Here is an 18,623-nt window from a genome sequence, read left to right as displayed (position 1 = left end):
TACCTGGCTTATTTTACTTAGCATAATGCCCCCTAGATTCATTCATGTCGTCATAAATGACAGAATTTTAGTCTTTTTTAAGGCTGAATAGTATTTCATTGAGTGCATATACCACATTTTTTCGATCTATTTATCTGTTGATAGGCACTTAGATTGTTTATATATCTTAGTTATTGTGAATAATGTTGTAGCGAACATGGCAGGGCAAATATCTCTTCAACATACTGATTTTAATTCCTTTGGATATATACTCAGAAGTGGGATTGCAGGATCGTCCTAAGTCTCACCTTTTGGTCCTTACTCAGATCTTGTTGTTTTGGGGTGTTTTATTTTGTTTTGTGGTTTGGTTTTTTTTTGTCTTTTTGTTGTTGTTGTTGTTTGTTTTTTTGTTTTGGTTTTTGGGTCTGCAGATTCTAGAGTATTTTCTGGATAGTTGAGACTTCCAAATTATTGATCTTTGTTACTTTACTTTTCTTCTTTGCATGTGAACCAGTCATAAAATCAGACCATAATTTTTAAACCTGCTATCATTGATTCCTTAAACTTGCACACAATTAGAAAGCAGAGAGTAGGATCAATATTCAGAGACTAGGTCTCTGAATACACCAAGGAGTCTATGCCATCTCTATCACCTTCAGACCTGAGCTATCTAGTTGAATGCATCCTTGGAACTATTTTTAACCCTATGGGCTTCTGAGATACAGGTAGAGACCAGCCTGGGTGTATCACTTTCCACGGCCAAGGGGCTTGCAGCCAAGATCACTTTTACTAAAAATAGTTCACAAGCTAAGGCTCTCCAATCATACCTTGATATGGTTCTGGGAGATCCTTTTCTATTCATTCCCATGACCTAAGCTGAAATAGTGCTGGAGGGCTTGTGAAAATCAAATCTGGGTTTTAGGATAGCATATCTGTGATTATATATGGTTCAGCTATAGTATTTGAGTTTAAGCCAAATATCCTACTAATATTTCAGGTAAAGAGATTTTTATCGTAGTTGTGTGTACGTATGTGCCATTTAATTGTTTGTTTTAGGGTACTTAAGTGCATATGTGTGTATGTGTGCATATATTTGTGTGTGTGTGTTGTGTGTGCCTACGTATGTATGTATTTTTCCCCCAGTGTTTACCTAGTGAGTGAAACAGAATTATTAACATCTTTTTTGAATGAATACTACATGCCAGTTGTTTTGCATGAAAGTAAAAACTGATATTAAAACTTTATTTTCTTTTTTAATTTCAGAGAAGTATTCAAGTATTTATACAGATAGGAATCAAGATAATCAACAATGTCTGTCACTGAGGAAGACCTGTGCCACCATATGAAAGTAGTAGTTCGTGTACGTCCGGAAAACACTAAAGAAAAAGCAGCTGGATTTCATAAAGTGGTTCATGTTGTGGATAAACATATCCTAGTTTTTGATCCCAAACAAGAAGAAGTCAGTTTTTTCCATGGAAAGAAAACTACAAATCAAAATGTTATAAAGAAACAAAATAAGGATCTTAAATTTGTATTTGATGCTGTTTTTGATGAAACGTCAACTCAGTCAGAAGTTTTTGAACACACTACTAAGCCAATTCTTCGTAGTTTTTTGAATGGATATAATTGCACAGGTATTTGTTTCAATTTGGGATTTAATTTCTCTATCCGATTTCACTTTTGCATTAGGACGGACATCTACTTGACCCTTCTAAATATAATCAAATTTAAGGAGCTTGTATGCTAAAAATTCTTAAGAAATTCAATAGACTTGAACTGTAAATATAGACTTTGAAATTTTAGTTATCATATATAACTTATACATCATTTGTAAACCTTTCTCTTCCAGGGCCTTACTGTGGCCCCTATAGACATCTGTCCTTTCAGTTGCCTATGTTATTAAACCACATGCTTATTGCAATTAACATCAGTTTTCTCATAACCTGTATTTATAACTTTTCCTACAGCTTACCTATGTAATTATCTATTCCTGGAGAGTAGTCAGACATTTCTGAACATTTGACAGTTTCTTTTCAGCAGTTTTTCTTCATGGCACATTGAAATAAAAATGTTTAAGTTGGCGAAGGATAGGAGGAGACTGAGGATCAAAAAACTACCTATGGGGTACTACACTCCTTACCTGAGTGATGAAAAAATCTGTACACTAAACCCCGCAGCATGCAATTTACCCATGTAACAAACCTGCACTGTACCCCCAAACCTAAAATAAAAATTGGAAAGGGGGTAAAAGTGTTAAGATCCCATGTTAATTATCTCATGCCCTTTAGCTCATTGTTAGCCCAAGAAGCATCTTTAGTGCTTTTTTTGGCCTTTCAAGAAAGCCATGTTGATTTCCTTTTTAAAAAAAAAAAAAGAGAGAGAGAGAGAGAGATACCCAAGATGCAAAATGGCCAGTTTTTCAGTGCCTACCAGGCACTAAACACCATTATTAATATCTTATTTTTGTAATTATTAGTATTTATGATATTTTCCCCAAGACAGCTCACAACTATAACATGTTTCACTGTCTTTTCCTGATTCATTTCAGTTTTATCATGGAAGACATACCCTCTTGATCAAGTAAGGATGGAGTGTGGTTTATTGATTGGTACTACTGTGATTCCCATTTTTAAGAAGATATTCTTTTCCTCTTTCATGAAACTTCATATGTCTCTAGAGATTTTGAAATCTTCTTAACTCTAAGAAAAAAAGTAGACTCTCTATCAAACTACTATTGAATTTTTGGTTTCTTTTTGGCTTTCTTTATATTCTTACCCTGTCTTTAAGACAGCTTAAGAATAAGCTTAAGAATAAGCCATTTTAAACCTTCCTTATATACCAGCTTACATAAAATAGAACAAAGTAAAATATACACCATCTTAATTCATCCTACTGAAAAGTATTTTTGTGGTTTGTTAACATTTGGTTTAGCAGACAGATTGAATTTATAAAAATATTTTCAACCAATAATGATATGAGAAGTTATTGCCTTAACTGATTATTGTATTGGGTGTTTACCATATGTAATTCACAGAGTGGATTTTTTTCTTTCTCTTTGTCTTTTTTTTTTTTTTTTTTTTTTTGATGAAGTCTTGCTGTGTTGCCCAGGCTGGAGTGCGCTGGTGCAATCACAGCTCACTGCAATGATATGAGAAGTTATTGCCTTAACTGATTATTGTATTGGGTATTTACCATATGTAATTCACAGAGTGGATTTTTTTCTTTTTCTTTGTCTTTTTTTTTTTTTTGATGAAGTCTTGCTGTGTTGCCCAGGCTGGAGTGCGCTGGTACAATCACAGCTCACTGCAGCCTCAACCTGCTGGGCTTAAGCAATCCTCCCATCTTAGCCTCCTGAATAGCTGGACTACAGGAATGAGCCACTGCCCTCAGCTAATTTTTTGAAAATTTTTGTGGATACAGGGTCTCACTGTGTTGCCCAGGCTGGTCTCAAACTCCTGGGCTCAAGCAGTCCTCCCACCTTAGCTGTCCAAAGTACTGGGATTGTAGGGATGAGCCACCGAGCCTGGCCCACAGAGTGGATTTTTTATACATTGGAAGAAATTCACATGACTTTCTTGTACTGAATAGAATCTAGGAAACAAAGTAATTCACCTAAAACAAAAACTTAAAAAGGAATCTTATAAATGGCATCTATCTGGTATTTATTCAAGTACCTGCTTTGTGGCAAGTGATTTGTTAGGTGATAAGGATACATGGCCTCTGCCTTGGTGGAGCACTCAATTGGAAATACAGTGTGATACATGCCAGAAGAGAGGGATGTGGATATGCAGCATATACTAAGGGCTGAAGTGAAAGAGTGGATGTGTCTGCCTAGGACAATGAGGGAAGGCAGAGAAAAATGATATTTGTGCTGAGCATTTAGAAGCAGGTGGAAGTTTTCCAGCTGGATCAAGTAGAGGGACTCCTCAGAACAAAGACAGCAGAGTAGAAAGGAGCAGCAAATGCTGAGAGTATTGAATAATTAAGTATCCCTAGATCACAGCAAGGAAGCAGTAGGCTGGCAAAATAAGCAGGCACCCTCTGAGTGCTTTATAATATTCCAAAGTGAGGAATTTGAACTTATGTAAACCTGGAACAATTAAGAAGGTTTAACGTATTCCAATTTCTTTTTCATAAAGATGACTACAAATTGCAAAGGATAAAGAAGATGGAAGATGAAGACTAATCTGTAGGGAGATTTTAAGATTGCTTTGAAAGAGTAGTTGTTAGAGTGGGGGGCCGGGGGTAGTGATACCATTTATCAGAGTAAAGAACATAGGAGTAAGAGTAGATTTGTGGTAACATTCCCAGGTTTTAAGGATAAGACTATAATTTTGGATTTGTAGGGTTTAAAGATACTGTTCAGGATATCCAGATGGAACTATCCACTAGATAGTAGATATAATAGAGTTATATTTCATAACAAAGAGTTTTGATCCCTTTCTTAAAAACTCAGTACTTGCCTATGGTGCCACTGGTGCTGGGAAGACCCACACTATGCTAGGATCAGCTGATGAACCTGGAGTGATGTATCTAACAATGTTACACCTTTACAAATGCATGGATGAGATTAAAGAAGAGAAAATATGTAGTACTGCAGTTTCATATCTGGAGGTAAGTTGGGAATTTAGATTAATCAATAGTTTTGGGAAATCATTGACATGATTCATACAAATGATTTTATTATATAAGAGTTTTCCGGTGAATATATAAAATCATTAAAATTCCTTGTCTTGAATATTTGTTATGCATCTTTTTCTGTTAATTTTTTTTTTTTTTACTTTGGCAAAATTTCAGACTTATAGAGAAGTTGCAACAATAGTACAAAGAACTTCCAGATACCCTTCATACAGATCCCCCATATGTTAGCATTTTACTGCATTTGCTTTCTATGTGTGTGTATACATTTCTTTCTTTCTGAGCTAGGTTGCAGACTTGTAAAAACAGGACTTTTTAAAAATAACTGCTAAATAGGTACCAAAATCAGGAAATTAGCAATGATACAATATAATTATCTGTAGATCTTAGTGAGATTTTGCTAGTTATTTCATTAATACCCTTTATTGTAAAAGAAAATTGTATTCAGTTGTTATATCTTAGTCTCCTTAATCTGTAATTTTTTGTCTTTTATAACACTGCCATAAAAATCCTTAGTTTGGATTTATCATGATTAGATTCAGATTATGCACTGACAGTAACACAAGCAAAGTGATGTTCACTTCTTACTGCATCAAAAAAGGCTTAAGCCGTTGATTAGTCCCCATACTGGGAATGTTAACTTTGATCAGTTTTATTATGCTGTGGTCTGTAGAGTTTCTCCACTTTGAAGATACGTTTTACCATTTATAATTAGTAAGTACTATGTATGTAGACAATGTAAATATTCCTTACTCCTCAAACTTTTATCTATTGTTATTAGTATCCACTGATGATTGGTGACTGAATCAATTACTATTATGATGGTAGATGATGGTGATTTTTAAATTCCATCATTTCTTGTACATTTCTTTATTGACTTTCTACTATAAGGAAGAGTTTTCCCCTTATTATATCAGCCTCCTGCATTTTTACTTTATTGAATAGATTATAATCCCTTTCTGTAATCATTTTTTGTATGTTCAAATTGTGTAAGATTTGGCTAGTTGAGACTTCTTCATGTTGTCTCTTGTGTCCTTTTGAAATACCCCATCATTCTTTGAGGCCTTCTACCCTCTTAATAGTCAACAAATGGTAACTAAGTGGCAGACACTCTAACTTTGCATTCAAATAGTGTTTCAGAAACCAGTGCAGAAACATAAAAACCCTGATTTCATTGCCTATTTATTTCTGGTGCCATAAAATTTCTCTCTTATTAACATCTTGTAGTTTGGTCCCTACTGAGAATTTCTTCCAAAGATTGATTAAAATCATATATGTTGCTAAAAATTTCTTCATTAGAACTTATAGATAAAAAAGAAGTAAAACTCATTTTCTTTGGTTGGTTAACTATGAAAAGAATTGTTCTGAACTCAATTGGGAAAAGAGGGTGCCAGCATTCATTATTTTTTCCTTAGATCCTTTTTATAACTGGGAGAATTTTGAAGTTTGGTTATTTTCACAATTTTTATTTTTTCTTTTAATCTACTTTCATATTATTAATGATAAGGCAGTGTATAATATGGTTTTCTACTCAAGCTGTGCACCAGAATTGCCTATAGAACTTTTTAAAAATAGGCCTAGGCCTCACACTTGGGATATTTTAATTTAGTAGGTCTGGGGTGTGGCTGAGGCATCTGTGTTTTTTAAATGCTCCTTGGTGAGTGTCATACATAGACCAGCTTGAGAACAATTATTCTAATTTTTGATTTGTTATGATTGAAGTGGGTAAGGGGAAGCAATAGTAAAGTGACTGCTGCTCATCAAAAAGATATGATTTAAAAATATTTCTTCATATTATCATTTTACTACTTTTAAGGGTTTATTACATTCTAATGCCTATCATTCATTGTAGAGAATTGTACCAGCAATGAATTATCACTATGAGCTACTTATTAGAACACAGAAGGAAATAACACAAAATAATTTTTTAGAGACTAAATTTTGTTATTTTTTTTCTTAAATCTTGTCAGTAATAGTTGTAATTGTCATTTGGTTAGCAAGTAATAAACTTTATACCTTTAATAAATTCATAAAATCGGGTCACTAGTACTACATAGAAATGTGTGTTACTTATAAAAATTACTTTTTAAAAAATGGCCAGAGATATAAACTACAGATATGTATTCAGTATGATGCAGTAGAGTGAAGCTGTCTAGGCTCCAGTTCCTACTCTGCTAATACCTTTATGACCATGGACAAATCATTTAACCTCTCAGAGTCTTAGTTCCCTCATCATTCAAATGGGTCTCCTTTTGAAATTTATTATTAGTAATTATATGTCAAAATTAATGTAATTGAAGGATAACCGAAACAAATACCACCTGTCCTTGGTATGGGTTTTCTGTAACATTTAAGCTCTAAAATTTCAAAAGTTTGGACTACTTGGACATTGTGAAATAATAGATATCTTCCACAGTAAGAACCATGCCATCTCCATACAACCTGCATTTCCCAGAGTTTCCCAGTACCGTGTGTTCCATACATTTCCTGAAAATAAGAAAATGGGCCGGGCGCGGTGGCTCACGCCTGTAATCCCAGCACTTTGGGAGGCCGAGGTGGGCGGATCACGAGGTCAGAAGATCAAGACCATCCTGGCTAACATGGTGAAACCCTGTCTCCACTAAAAATACAAAAAATTAGCCAGGCGTGGTGGCAGGCGCCAGTAGTCCCAGCTACTGGGGAGGCTGAGGCAGCAGAATGGTGAGAACCCGGGAGGCGGAGCTTGCAGTGAGCCGAGATTGCGCCACTGTACTCCAGCCTGGGAGACAGCGAGACTCCGTCTCAAAAAAAAAGAAAAGAAGAAAATGCACTTCAGCTATCTTACTTATCTCTGTTTCACCATAGTCATCAAGGCAGGAATTATGAGTGAGGGGATGACTCCAACTTTAAGTTTCAATTTCAAACCTAGGTAATCAAACTCTTCAATTTTCTGGAATGATAGAAAATTAATGGCAACATGAGATCGAAGGTATGAGGTGAATAAAAGTGAGGTGCTGCTTGTCTTTAGGATAAAATTCTAATAACTTTAAATTAGCAGTGTATGTGTGATGTAATCACCATTTTTTTTTTTTACATCAATGCTAAAGCAGTTCTTTTTATTTTAAGGTATATAATGAACAGATTCGTGATCTCTTAGTAAATTCAGGGCCACTTGCTGTCCGGGAAGATACCCAAAAAGGGGTGGTCGTTCATGGACTTACTTTACACCAGGTATGTATATAAACATCTTTTTCCCTGTTAGAATAGCAAATGTGACTATTAAGCTATTTTCACCAGCCATGCACTTACTTTCCATCCTGTTTGAGAAAAAAAACTAATGAGGTACAGAATTTAAATGATTAGGGTATATTTTTAGTCTTATTTTGTTTTCTTTTAAAATAGAGTGAACTTTTTAAAAACATTTTTTAAATTTTATTTTTAAATTTTAATCTACGTATGTATGTATGTATGTATGTATGTATGTATGTATTTATTTATTTATTTATTTATTTATTTTGTGACCGGGCTATGAGACTGGCTAATTTTTGTATTTTTGGTAGAAAGCGGGAGTTCACCATGTTATTCAGGCTGGTCTCAAACTCTGGGGCTCAAGATCTGCCTGCCTCAGCCTCCCAATGAGTGAGCTTTTCTTTCAAAAATCTGCTTGAACATTTAATGTCATATTATTCTACTCAATAGACTCCACTCCTGAGAAACTAGATTTTATCTTTTATTCTTCATATAAACACACACAATACTAAGCAGATGAGACAAAGTTAGTATTTAATAGGATTGAATTTATAGAAAACATTTTCTTTTACCTTTAAATCTTTTTGTTTTTTGAACATTTATTGAAAAATTTAAAGATATATTGCTGATTTTTAAATTTTGCTTCTACTTAAACTTCTCCAGCCCAAATCCTCAGAAGAAATTTTACATTTATTGGATAATGGAAACAAAAACAGGACACAACATCCCACTGATATGAATGCCACATCTTCTCGTTCTCATGCTGTTTTCCAAGTAAGAGGCCACTAGACTATCACTCTTAAAATTGGATTTAAAATAAATGAAGCTAAATTCATGAATCATCATTTTCATACATGTGAAAAAAATCTGTCTGTAGACTTCACTTGTCAGTACTTTCCTTTATAGCTTTGAAAAGTTTCTGTCACCAAGAGTATTTATAATTGAGATGCTTAAAACAAAAATACAAAATTTCTACCTTTGTAAACATACAGGAGGATAAAGTTGTAGTAATAAAAGTTTTGTTTTTGCTGAAAATATTTAATCTTTCCAATAAATAATCTTATATTCACAGTAAAACTTATCTCTATAAATCTAGACTTGTAGAACTAATAATTTGGGAACATACTGATTCATCTTTAAAAGATTTCACCATAAGGACCATGTAAATAGTCGCATTCCTTAAGGAAGTATGATTCAGTTGGCACAGTAAGTCTTAGGAATACAATTCCAGAAAGAGCTAAAGCATAGGTTAATAGCTATTATTTCTTATAGTTTCTAGTCCTTTTAATACCCAAATGATAATATAAAGCTTCTTTTAGTATTATGCCATCTGAGATACATCTTATAAGAAAGAAATTGTTATAGTTGAAAGAATTGATATTGAAGGCAATCAAACCATTCATATAGTCCCTGGTCAACAAAAATTTCATTAATCTTTTTTGTTCTTACCACTAACTCTTCGGTTATTAATAGTCTTGAGAGAAATGTTTCTCTGTGAAACTGAGATGTCTCTGAAATATCTTAGATCCTGCTTTATAAAACAATTTAATAAATGGGTTTATAATTAAGTAATATCTTACTTTCCTCATCTTTTGTTTGCCACCTAATGTAGTTCAGATAATCCTTACAGAGTAGCTTAAAATATTTGAATAAATTATGCTTTACTAGGCAGTTGAAAATGACAAGTAGACTTTACTGTATAGTCATGTGCCGCATAACGACATTTCAGTCAACAACAGTCCACATATACAACAGTGGTCCCATAAGATTACAACAGAGCTGAAAAGTTCCTATTCATCTAGTGATGTCATACTCATCATAATGTCGTGGCGTAACACATTACTCAAATGTTTGTGGTGTTGTTGGTGTAAACGAACCTGCACTGCCAGTCATATGAAAATATAGTACATACAATTATGTACAGTACATGAGACTTGGTAATAAATGACTGTGTTACTGGTTTATGTATTTACTTTTTATTGTTATTTTAGAGTATGCTCCTACTTATTACCCCAAAAGCAGTCTGCTACATTCTGTTTACCAAGTCTGTGGATTTTATCATTTTCTCTCATGTTTGATTTATGATATTTTCACAATGAGGAAATCACCTAACAGTGCATTTCTCAGAAAGTAGCTGTGTTGTTAAGTGATGCAAGACTGTACTATCTTTTTTATATATGATATTTTAATTATGAGGACATATACAGGTTTGGGGGATTAGAATAAATTTACTCTTCAGTTTGGATCAAGATTCGAATTCAGCTTCCCTTGAGGGGCAATCTCTAGATACATACAAGGCATTCTAACGAGTAGCTTTGGTTTTTTCTTAGGAACGTTATTTCTATAGGACCTGTGTTTCTAACCATCACCTCTGATAATTCCATGTCCTGGTTCAAGGGGTACCAGAATAGAAATGGAAGTTTTGATCTTCTATCAAGTCAAGAGTTATTTTTCCTCTGGTACACATATAGAAAGTCTTTTCATTTTTATATTTTTCTCAGCTATAGTGATTACTTATAGTGCTCTTAAATATCAATTAGATTATACCTTGTTCAGTTGTTTTTTAAAATGAAAATAATTTTGATTTTGTGCTCTATTAAAGTATATATTTCCCTTTTAATTTTGTTAAATCTTATCCTCATTTTTTTCTATTTTGTAATTTCAAAAAGATTTACTTGCGACAACAAGACAAAACAGCAAGTATCAATCAAAATGTCCGTATTGCCAAGATGTCACTCATTGACCTGGCAGGATCTGAGCGAGCAAGTACTTCCGGTGCTAAGGGGACCCGATTTGTAGAAGGCACAAATATTAATAGATCACTTTTAGCTCTTGGGAATGTCATCAATGCCTTAGCAGATTCAAAGGTAGGCATTATATGTTTATTTGTTAAATAGTTTGAAATATTGAAATAGATAAGAAAGATACTATTTAATATGATTTTGTTTTAAAGGTCTGATATATATCACATTTCAAGGGTATATCAGTAATGTTAATATATAGATCAAAGACCTCAGAAAACCTAGTGTATTAAACTGATTTTTATTTCTTTTTTAATTTCCAGTTTTATAATGAGAATTGGTTAAATAGAAAGTAATGAATACCAGATTGATAGTTAATATTTTATGGTACATTCTCATCACTTATTTTGAACTTGGTTTTTAAAGTGATCACTACACAGCAAACATGTTAATTAAATTGGCATGAAGACAAACTAACCATATTTTTAAAAACTAAATTCTGTTGTTTAGTATTTTATATATTATAAAATAGGGTTAAGTATTAAAGAGTGTTGATTTTTTTTTAAGGGGGGTTTAAGTTATAAAATGTCATGAAATCACCTAATAAGGTAATGTTTACTAGATGCTTCTGGGCATATTTAAATATAGTTTACATATACCATATGCCAGAAGTGCTTACCTAGAACACAGTGTATTTCACAACATAGATATTTGTAAAAATGACATCCTTTCAAAAAAATTATAATATGGCAATTTAAGTTAAACCATACTCGAAAGCTTTAGCTTGTTAAACTGTTCGAAAAGCTCATCATTAGTCATTAGAAAAATGCAAATCAAAACCACAATGAGATACCATCTCATGCCAGTTAGAATGGCGATCATTAAAAAGTCAGGAAACAACAGATGCTGGAGAGGATGTGGAGAAATAGGAACACTTTTACACTGTTGGTGGGAGTGTAAATTAGTTGAACCATTGTGGAAGACAGTGTGGCGATTCCTCAAGGATCTAGAACCAGAAATACCATTTGACCCAGCCATCCCATTACTGGGTATATACGCCCAAAGAATTATAAATCATTACTAGAAAGACACATGCACACCTATGTTTATTGCAGCACTATTCACAGTAGCAAAGACTTGAAACCAACCCAAATGCCCATCAATGATAGACTAGATAAAGAAAATGTGGCACATATACACCATGCAATACTATGCAGCCATGAAAAAGGATGAGTTCATGTCCTTTACAGGCACATGGATTAAGCTAGAAACCATCATTTTCAGCAAACTAACACAGGAACAGAAAACCAAACACTGCATAGCAGGTTCTCACTCATAAGTGGGAGTTGAACAATGAGAACACATGGACACAGGGAGGGGAACATTACACGCCAGGCAGGGCCTGTCAGGGGGTGTGGGGGCTAGGGGAGGGATAGCATTAGGAGAAATACCTAATGTAGATTACAGGTTGATGGGTGCAGCAAACCACCATGGCACATGTATACCTATGTAAGAAACCTGCACGTTCTGCACATGTATCCCAGAACTTAAAATATAATTAAAAAATTAAATTTAATTTTTTTAAAAAAGCTTTGGCTTGTTAAACTGTTCAAAATGTTACCTTTGATTTAGAATAAGTATATTAAAATAATTGGAGCAGGTTTTTTTTTTAAAAAAAGGCAAATTACTGAAATCACATGAAGATTGCAAAAGCAAGATGTCTTTTATATTCTGAGTTAAAATCTCAAACTTGTAAGCAGACAGCATGACACAGAGACGGATTTTGTAAACTTAAGCCATTCATAAGATTTTTGCCATATGAACTAATCTATAATTTTTTAATAATGACTCCTATTGAGTCATTTGTGAGTCAATGTTTAATATATGTCTTGTACATGTAAAATCACTTAAAATAGCACCAGCAGTGCATATTTCACACTGTTTGGGAAAGACTGCTATGGTGGAAGCACATTGCTACTGAGAATTGGGGGAACTAGGACCTATTTCTGGCTCTTTGAACTACTAGCTTTGTGACCCTAGTCAAATCATTTCACTTTATGCTTAGCTTCAATTTCCTGTTTTGCAATATGAAAGGTATACATTGGATAACATTAGGTTGCTTTTAGCTTAACATTGTAAAGAATCTGTTCTTATATAAACATTCTACTTTCTGGAAAATTTATTTGTTACTTCAAAATCAGAAACAAAACTTAACAAAATTTATTTGTTACTTTTACTTTTTTCTTTTTAGGTAAAAGAAAATCTTGAAGTATTAGGTTCTTTTAGAACACTATAGTGATTTCAGGAGAAATGTCTGTAACATTGTAATTATAATTTATTTCATATCGATATTAGATGGTTATTTAAGGAGAAAAGTAGCTCTAAGCCATGCAGTTATTATTCCTCTAGTATATTTGTATAGGACATCTGTTTACTTTTGTGTTTTAATTTTTTTCAATGATTGGAAATATTTTTAAATAGACATTTTCAAATAGTTTTAGATTTACAGAAAAGTTACTAAGATGATACAGATTTTGTTAAATATGCTCCACACCTGGTTTTCCCTATTGTTAATTTTTTATATTAATATGGTACATATATCACAACTAATGAACCAATATTAATGTATTATTTTATTTTGAACTAAAGTTCATACTTACTCAGATGCAGATATTTTTAAATATGATATTTGTTTCATATATTCACTGAATAATCCTGTAAGATTCTTTGTCATCACCTCAATCACCAATTATAAGTCTGGATAAAATTGGGTAGCGCTTAAGTTCTTATAGTGAAGTGTAGGGTCAAGCCCTACGGGACTTGGCAGGTGTCCTCCCCGTGTGCGGAGACGAGAGATTGTAATAAATAAAGACACAAGACAAAGAGATAAAGAGAAAACAGCTGGGCCCCAGGGGACCACTACCATCAAGACACGGAGACCGGTAGTGGCCCCGAACAGCTGGGCGCGCTGATATTTATTGCATACAAGACAAGGGGGCAGGGTAAGGAGGGTGAATCTTCTAAGTGATTGACAAGGTGAGGCAAGTCACGTGATCATAGGACAGGGGACCCTTCCCTCTTAGGTAGCCGATAACAGAGAGAGAGATGGCGCATACATCCGTGTTTTCTTCTGTGCACTTATAAGAAAGATCAAAGACTTTAAGACTTTCACTATTTCTTCTGTTGCTGTCTACTGTGAACTTCAAAGAGGAACCAGGAGTACAGGAGGAACATGAAAGTGGACAAGGAGCATGACCATTGAAGCACAGCACCACAGGGAGGGGTTTAGGCCTCCGGATGACTGCGGGCAGGCCTGGATAATATCCAGCCTTCCACAGGAAGCTGGTGGAGCAGAGTGTTCCCTGACTCCTCCAAGGAAAGGAGACTCCCTTTCGCGGTCTTCTAAGTAATGGGTGTCTTCCCAGACACTGGCATTACCACTTGACCAAGGAGCCCTCAAGCGGCGTTTGTGCCGGCATAACAGAAGGCTCACCTCTTGCCTTCTAGATCACTTCTCACAATGTCCCTTCAGCAGCTGACCCCATACCCGCCGGTTATTCCTAGGTTATATTCGTAATGCAACAAAGAGTAATATTAAAAGCTAATGATTAATAATGTTTATAATAGTGATTGATAATTGTCCATGATCATCTCTATATCTAAGTTGTATTATGACTATTCTTATTCTAGCTATTTTTTTCATTATACTGAAACAGTTTATACCTTCAGTCTCTTGCCTCGGCACCTAGGTAATCCTCCCCCCACAGTGAAGTGCTAAAGTGGTAGCAGGTTTGCATTTAAATGTGGAAAATGACATAAGATCTCTTTTTTGTGCTTTCAGAGAAAGAATCAGCATATCCCTTACAGAAATAGTAAGCTTACTCGCTTGTTAAAGGATTCTCTTGGAGGAAACTGTCAAACTATAATGATAGCTGCTGTTAGTCCTTCCTCTGTATTCTACGATGACACATATAACACTCTTAAGTATGCTAACCGGGCAAAGGACATTAAATCTTCTGTAAGTCTGTTTACTCTGCCTTTGTTGTGAAGGTATTGTCTGCATATGATTTTTATAATTGTAATGAAAGTATTAATTCAGGTTATGTTTCTACATAATGAGTTAGGCAGCTGAGGGTTAGAAGGGTCTTTGCTAACCTGCTTAGTCGAACATTAATTTAGACGGTTAAACCATAAAGCATCTTGATTATATATATATATATATAATAGATACTATTATTCGATCTTTTGGGTACTATGGTACTTGAGTGGCTTTCTCCCTAACCTCTTTGATGTCATGGCGTATTGTATTTGGATGGCATCTTGGAGTAATCACTCAAAACTTGAACACATTTGTTGCAGCCCAGGATGATGCTCTGCTTTAGCTGAGAACCAAAACTTTCACCTGAAAATCTTGGATATGTTAGTTAAGCTTTCCAAGCCTATTATTTCATCTGTAAAATAGGTATAAAGCTTATTTTTTAAAAAGTCTTTTCTACATAATTTATAGTCCACATTCATGATGTTGATGTACCAATCTCTGTATTTCTCCAGAAATATAATAATAATAATTGGTTACATTAGTATTTTTGCCAAAGATGTGTTGTACTTAAAAACATGTATATCAAAATATGTATGTTTAAATTATAATATATCGGGGTTGAAAAAACCTAGAGTTAAGCTGTTGTGATGACTCCTCCTCTTCTCCCTTTCCCCTCTGCCACTCTCCTTAAGTGTCTGAAGATGAGCATGTTATTGTCATCTTAAGAAAAATGTTCCCAGGCTCATTATATAATTAATTGTAAAAGGTCATACTATATGGGTGTACAGAAAGGTTTGTAACACATGATTTTCATGTAGCCCTTACACTAGCCCCTTGAGGAATGAATTCTTAGCTCCACTTTACAGATGAGTAACCCAAACATCAAACAGTTCGAATTCTAAGTCAGGTTAAGTGAGAAGTAGGCAAGGTCTCAATATCAAGTATTTGGATTTATATGTTTAATATCCTCTCTACTATACCATAAATGTCAAGGGGCCCATACTATGATAAAAATGTTAAAATATAGTAAGAACTCAGTGAAAACCAACTGAATTCCTGAAAGGGTAGCATGAAAAACTATCTCTGCATTACTTAGAAGTCAAAGGAGTAAGAAAGTAGGGAATTTTATTATATTGCAATTACATGCTTATAAATACCTTTTCTCAATAAAGTAATTTCTTTATAATTTCATTTACATTATTAATGTGCTCAGCAGATCCTCTTGTCATAGATTTTAAATGTGAGCATAATTATCACAAATTCTGAATTCATGGAACTCAATGAAAATGCAATGTCATGTTATTCATGTATTTATCTCTGTGATTATTATCTCTCTATAAACAATCATAATTTCTATCTTTCAACAGTTGAAGAGCAATGTTCTTAATGTCAATAATCATATAACTCAATATGTAAAGATCTGTAATGAGCAGAAGGCAGAGGTATGTCTGTTTATATTTTTATGCTAGTCTTGCGCAGTTCTTCATTTATAGAATTTTATAATCTTAATTGTCCAAAAATTTAACATATTTTTCTATTAAAATTAAAATCTGGTTAATTCAGTTATTTTTTACAGCTAAATTTGGCTGTGGCCATGTAAATGACTTCTTTTGTATTTTAACTAGTGATTTCTCTCTACTAGATTTTATTGTTAAAAGAAAAACTAAAAGCCTATGAAGAACAGAAAGCCTTCACTAATGAAAATGACCAAGCAAAGTTAATGATTTCAAACCCTCAGGAAAAAGAAATCGAAAGGTAAACATTACATTAAGATCTAATTTTGAGGAATTTATTGTTTTAAAATTTTGTTAAGTATTTTATGTTAATTATCATTTGTTATGTCTTTTATATGTACATAGATATGTATGTTTATAATTTTATATATACACACATACATACATACATACATAACAGGCTTGACTCAGAGATATTGCAGATTTAGTTCTCCAGACCACTGCAATAAATGAAATATCATAATAAAATGAGTCACACAAATGTTTTGGTTTTCCGGTGCATATAAAAATTATGTTTACACTACACTATAGTCTATTAAGTGTGCAATAGCATTATATCTGAAAAGATAATGCCTTGCTTTAATTTTAGACATACTTTATTGCTAAAACATGCTAATGATAATCTGAACCTTCAGCAAGTCATAATCTTTTTGCTGGTGGAGGTCTTCCCTCAATGTTTATGGCATCTGACTAGTAAGAGTAATGGTTGCTGCAAGTTGGAGTGGCTGTGACAATTTCTGAAAATAAGGCAACAATGAAGTTTACTGCATAGATTGACTCGTCCTTTCATGAAAGATTTATCTGTAGTGTGTGATGCTCTTTGATAGCATTTTACCCACGGTAGAACTTCTTTAAAAATTTGAGACAATCTTTTCAAACCTTGCCACTGCTCTATCAGCTATATTTATGTCATATTCTAAATCCTTTGTTATTTCAACGTAGATAGCATCTTTATAGGGAGTAGGTGGTAAACTTTCTCAAGAAACCATTTTCTTTGGTTATCCATAGAAGCAGCTCTTCATTTCTTCAAGTTTAATCATGAGATTGCAGCAATTCAGTCCTGTCTTCAGGCTCCACTTCTAATTCTAGTTCTCTTTCATGTCCACCACATCTGCAGTTAGTTTCTTCACTGAAATCTTGAACCCCTCATAGTTATCCATGAGGATTGGAATCTACTTCCTCCAAATTCCTATTAATGTTGATATTTTGACCTCCTTACACATATCACAAATGTTCTTAATGGCATCTACAATGGCAAATTCTTTTCAGATGCTTTTCAATTTATTTTGCCTAGATCCGTCAGAGAAGCATGATCCATGAAAGAAAGTATCTATAGCAGCTATAGCCCTACAAAATGTATTTCCTAAATAAGAAGACACAAAAGTCAAAATTGCATGATCCATGAGCTGCAGACTGGGTGTTGAGTTAGCAGACATGAAAACAACATTAATCTTCTCGTCCATCTCCATGAGAACTCCTGAGTGACCAGGTGTATTGTCAGTGAGCATTAGTATTTTGAAAGGAATCTTTTTTTCTGAGCAATAGGTCTTAACAGTGGGCTTAAAATTATTAAGTAAACGGATGTGCTGTCCTCTAGACTTTGTTGTTCTATTTGTAGAGCACAAGCAGAGTTAAATTTAGCATATTTCATAAGGGCCCTAGGATGTTTGTAAATGGTAAATGAACATCGACTTCAACTTAAAGTCACCAGCTGCAAAAGCCCCTGACAAGAGAGTCAGCCTGTTCTTTAAAGCTTTGAAAGTAGGTATTTACTTCTCTCTAGATATGAAGGTCCTAGATGGCATATTGTTCCAATTAAAAGCTGATTTGTCTATCTTGAAAATCTGTTGTTTAGTGTAGCCACCTTCATCAGTGATCTTACCTAAATTTTCTCGATAACTTGCTGCAGCTTCTACATCAGCACTTGCTGCTTCACCTAGACTTTTATGTTCTAGAGAAGGCTTTTTTTCTTACACTTTTAAACTTTATGAACCAACACCTGCTAGTTTCAGAATTTTCCTCTGCAACTTCCTCACCTCTCTCAGCCTTTGTAGAATTGAACAGATTTAGAAGGCTTGCTCTGGATAAGGCTTTGACTTAAAGAAATGTGATAGCTAGTTTAATCTATCCAGACCATTGAAACTTTTTCCATATCAGCAATAAGGCTGTTTCACTTTCTTAGTGTGTGTGTTCACTGGAGTAGCACTTTTAATTTCCTTCAAGAATTTTTCCTTTGCATTCACAACTTGGCTAAATGTTTTGTGCAAGAGACCTAGCTTTTCGCCTATCTTGGCTTTCTACAAGCCTTCCTTAGAAGCTTAGTAATTTCCAGCTTTTGATTTAAAATGATAGACATGCAACTAACTCTTTCACTTGAACACTTGGAGGCCATTTTAGGGTTATTAATTTGCCCGATTTCAACGTGTTTCAAGGAATAGGGAGGGCTGAGGAGAGGTAGGGAAACAGCCAGTCAGTGGAGCCGTC

The 18,623-nt window shown here is 34.1% G+C and overlaps 1 protein-coding gene across 3 annotated transcripts in view; it reads left to right on the top strand.

Annotated features, from left to right (window-relative positions):
* Window positions 1-18,623, top strand: part of KIF18A (kinesin family member 18A) — an 87,538-nt gene that overhangs the window by 8,921 nt on the left and 59,994 nt on the right. For 2 of the 3 annotated variants that reach the window (NM_031217.4, XM_017018379.2), the window contains exons 2-9: window positions 1,243-1,613; window positions 4,436-4,593; window positions 7,723-7,827; window positions 8,509-8,619; window positions 10,515-10,712; window positions 14,428-14,604; window positions 15,993-16,067; window positions 16,268-16,380. In NM_031217.4, coding sequence (NP_112494.3) covers window positions 1,289-1,613; window positions 4,436-4,593; window positions 7,723-7,827; window positions 8,509-8,619; window positions 10,515-10,712; window positions 14,428-14,604; window positions 15,993-16,067; window positions 16,268-16,380 — 1,262 coding nt within the window. In that variant the 5' untranslated portion in view covers window positions 1,243-1,288. Of the gene's footprint in view, window positions 1-1,242; window positions 1,614-4,435; window positions 4,594-7,722; window positions 7,828-8,508; window positions 8,620-10,514; window positions 10,713-14,427; window positions 14,605-15,992; window positions 16,068-16,267; window positions 16,381-17,467; window positions 17,629-18,623 lie in introns of those variants that run through there. The other variant, XM_017018380.2, reaches the window with a different exon arrangement.

The sequence above is a fragment of the Homo sapiens genome, chromosome 11 (assembly GCF_000001405.40).
Source record: "Homo sapiens chromosome 11, GRCh38.p14 Primary Assembly".
Taxonomy (NCBI): Eukaryota; Metazoa; Chordata; class Mammalia; order Primates; family Hominidae; genus Homo; species Homo sapiens.
This window is presented reverse-complemented; position numbering and strand designations above follow the sequence as displayed.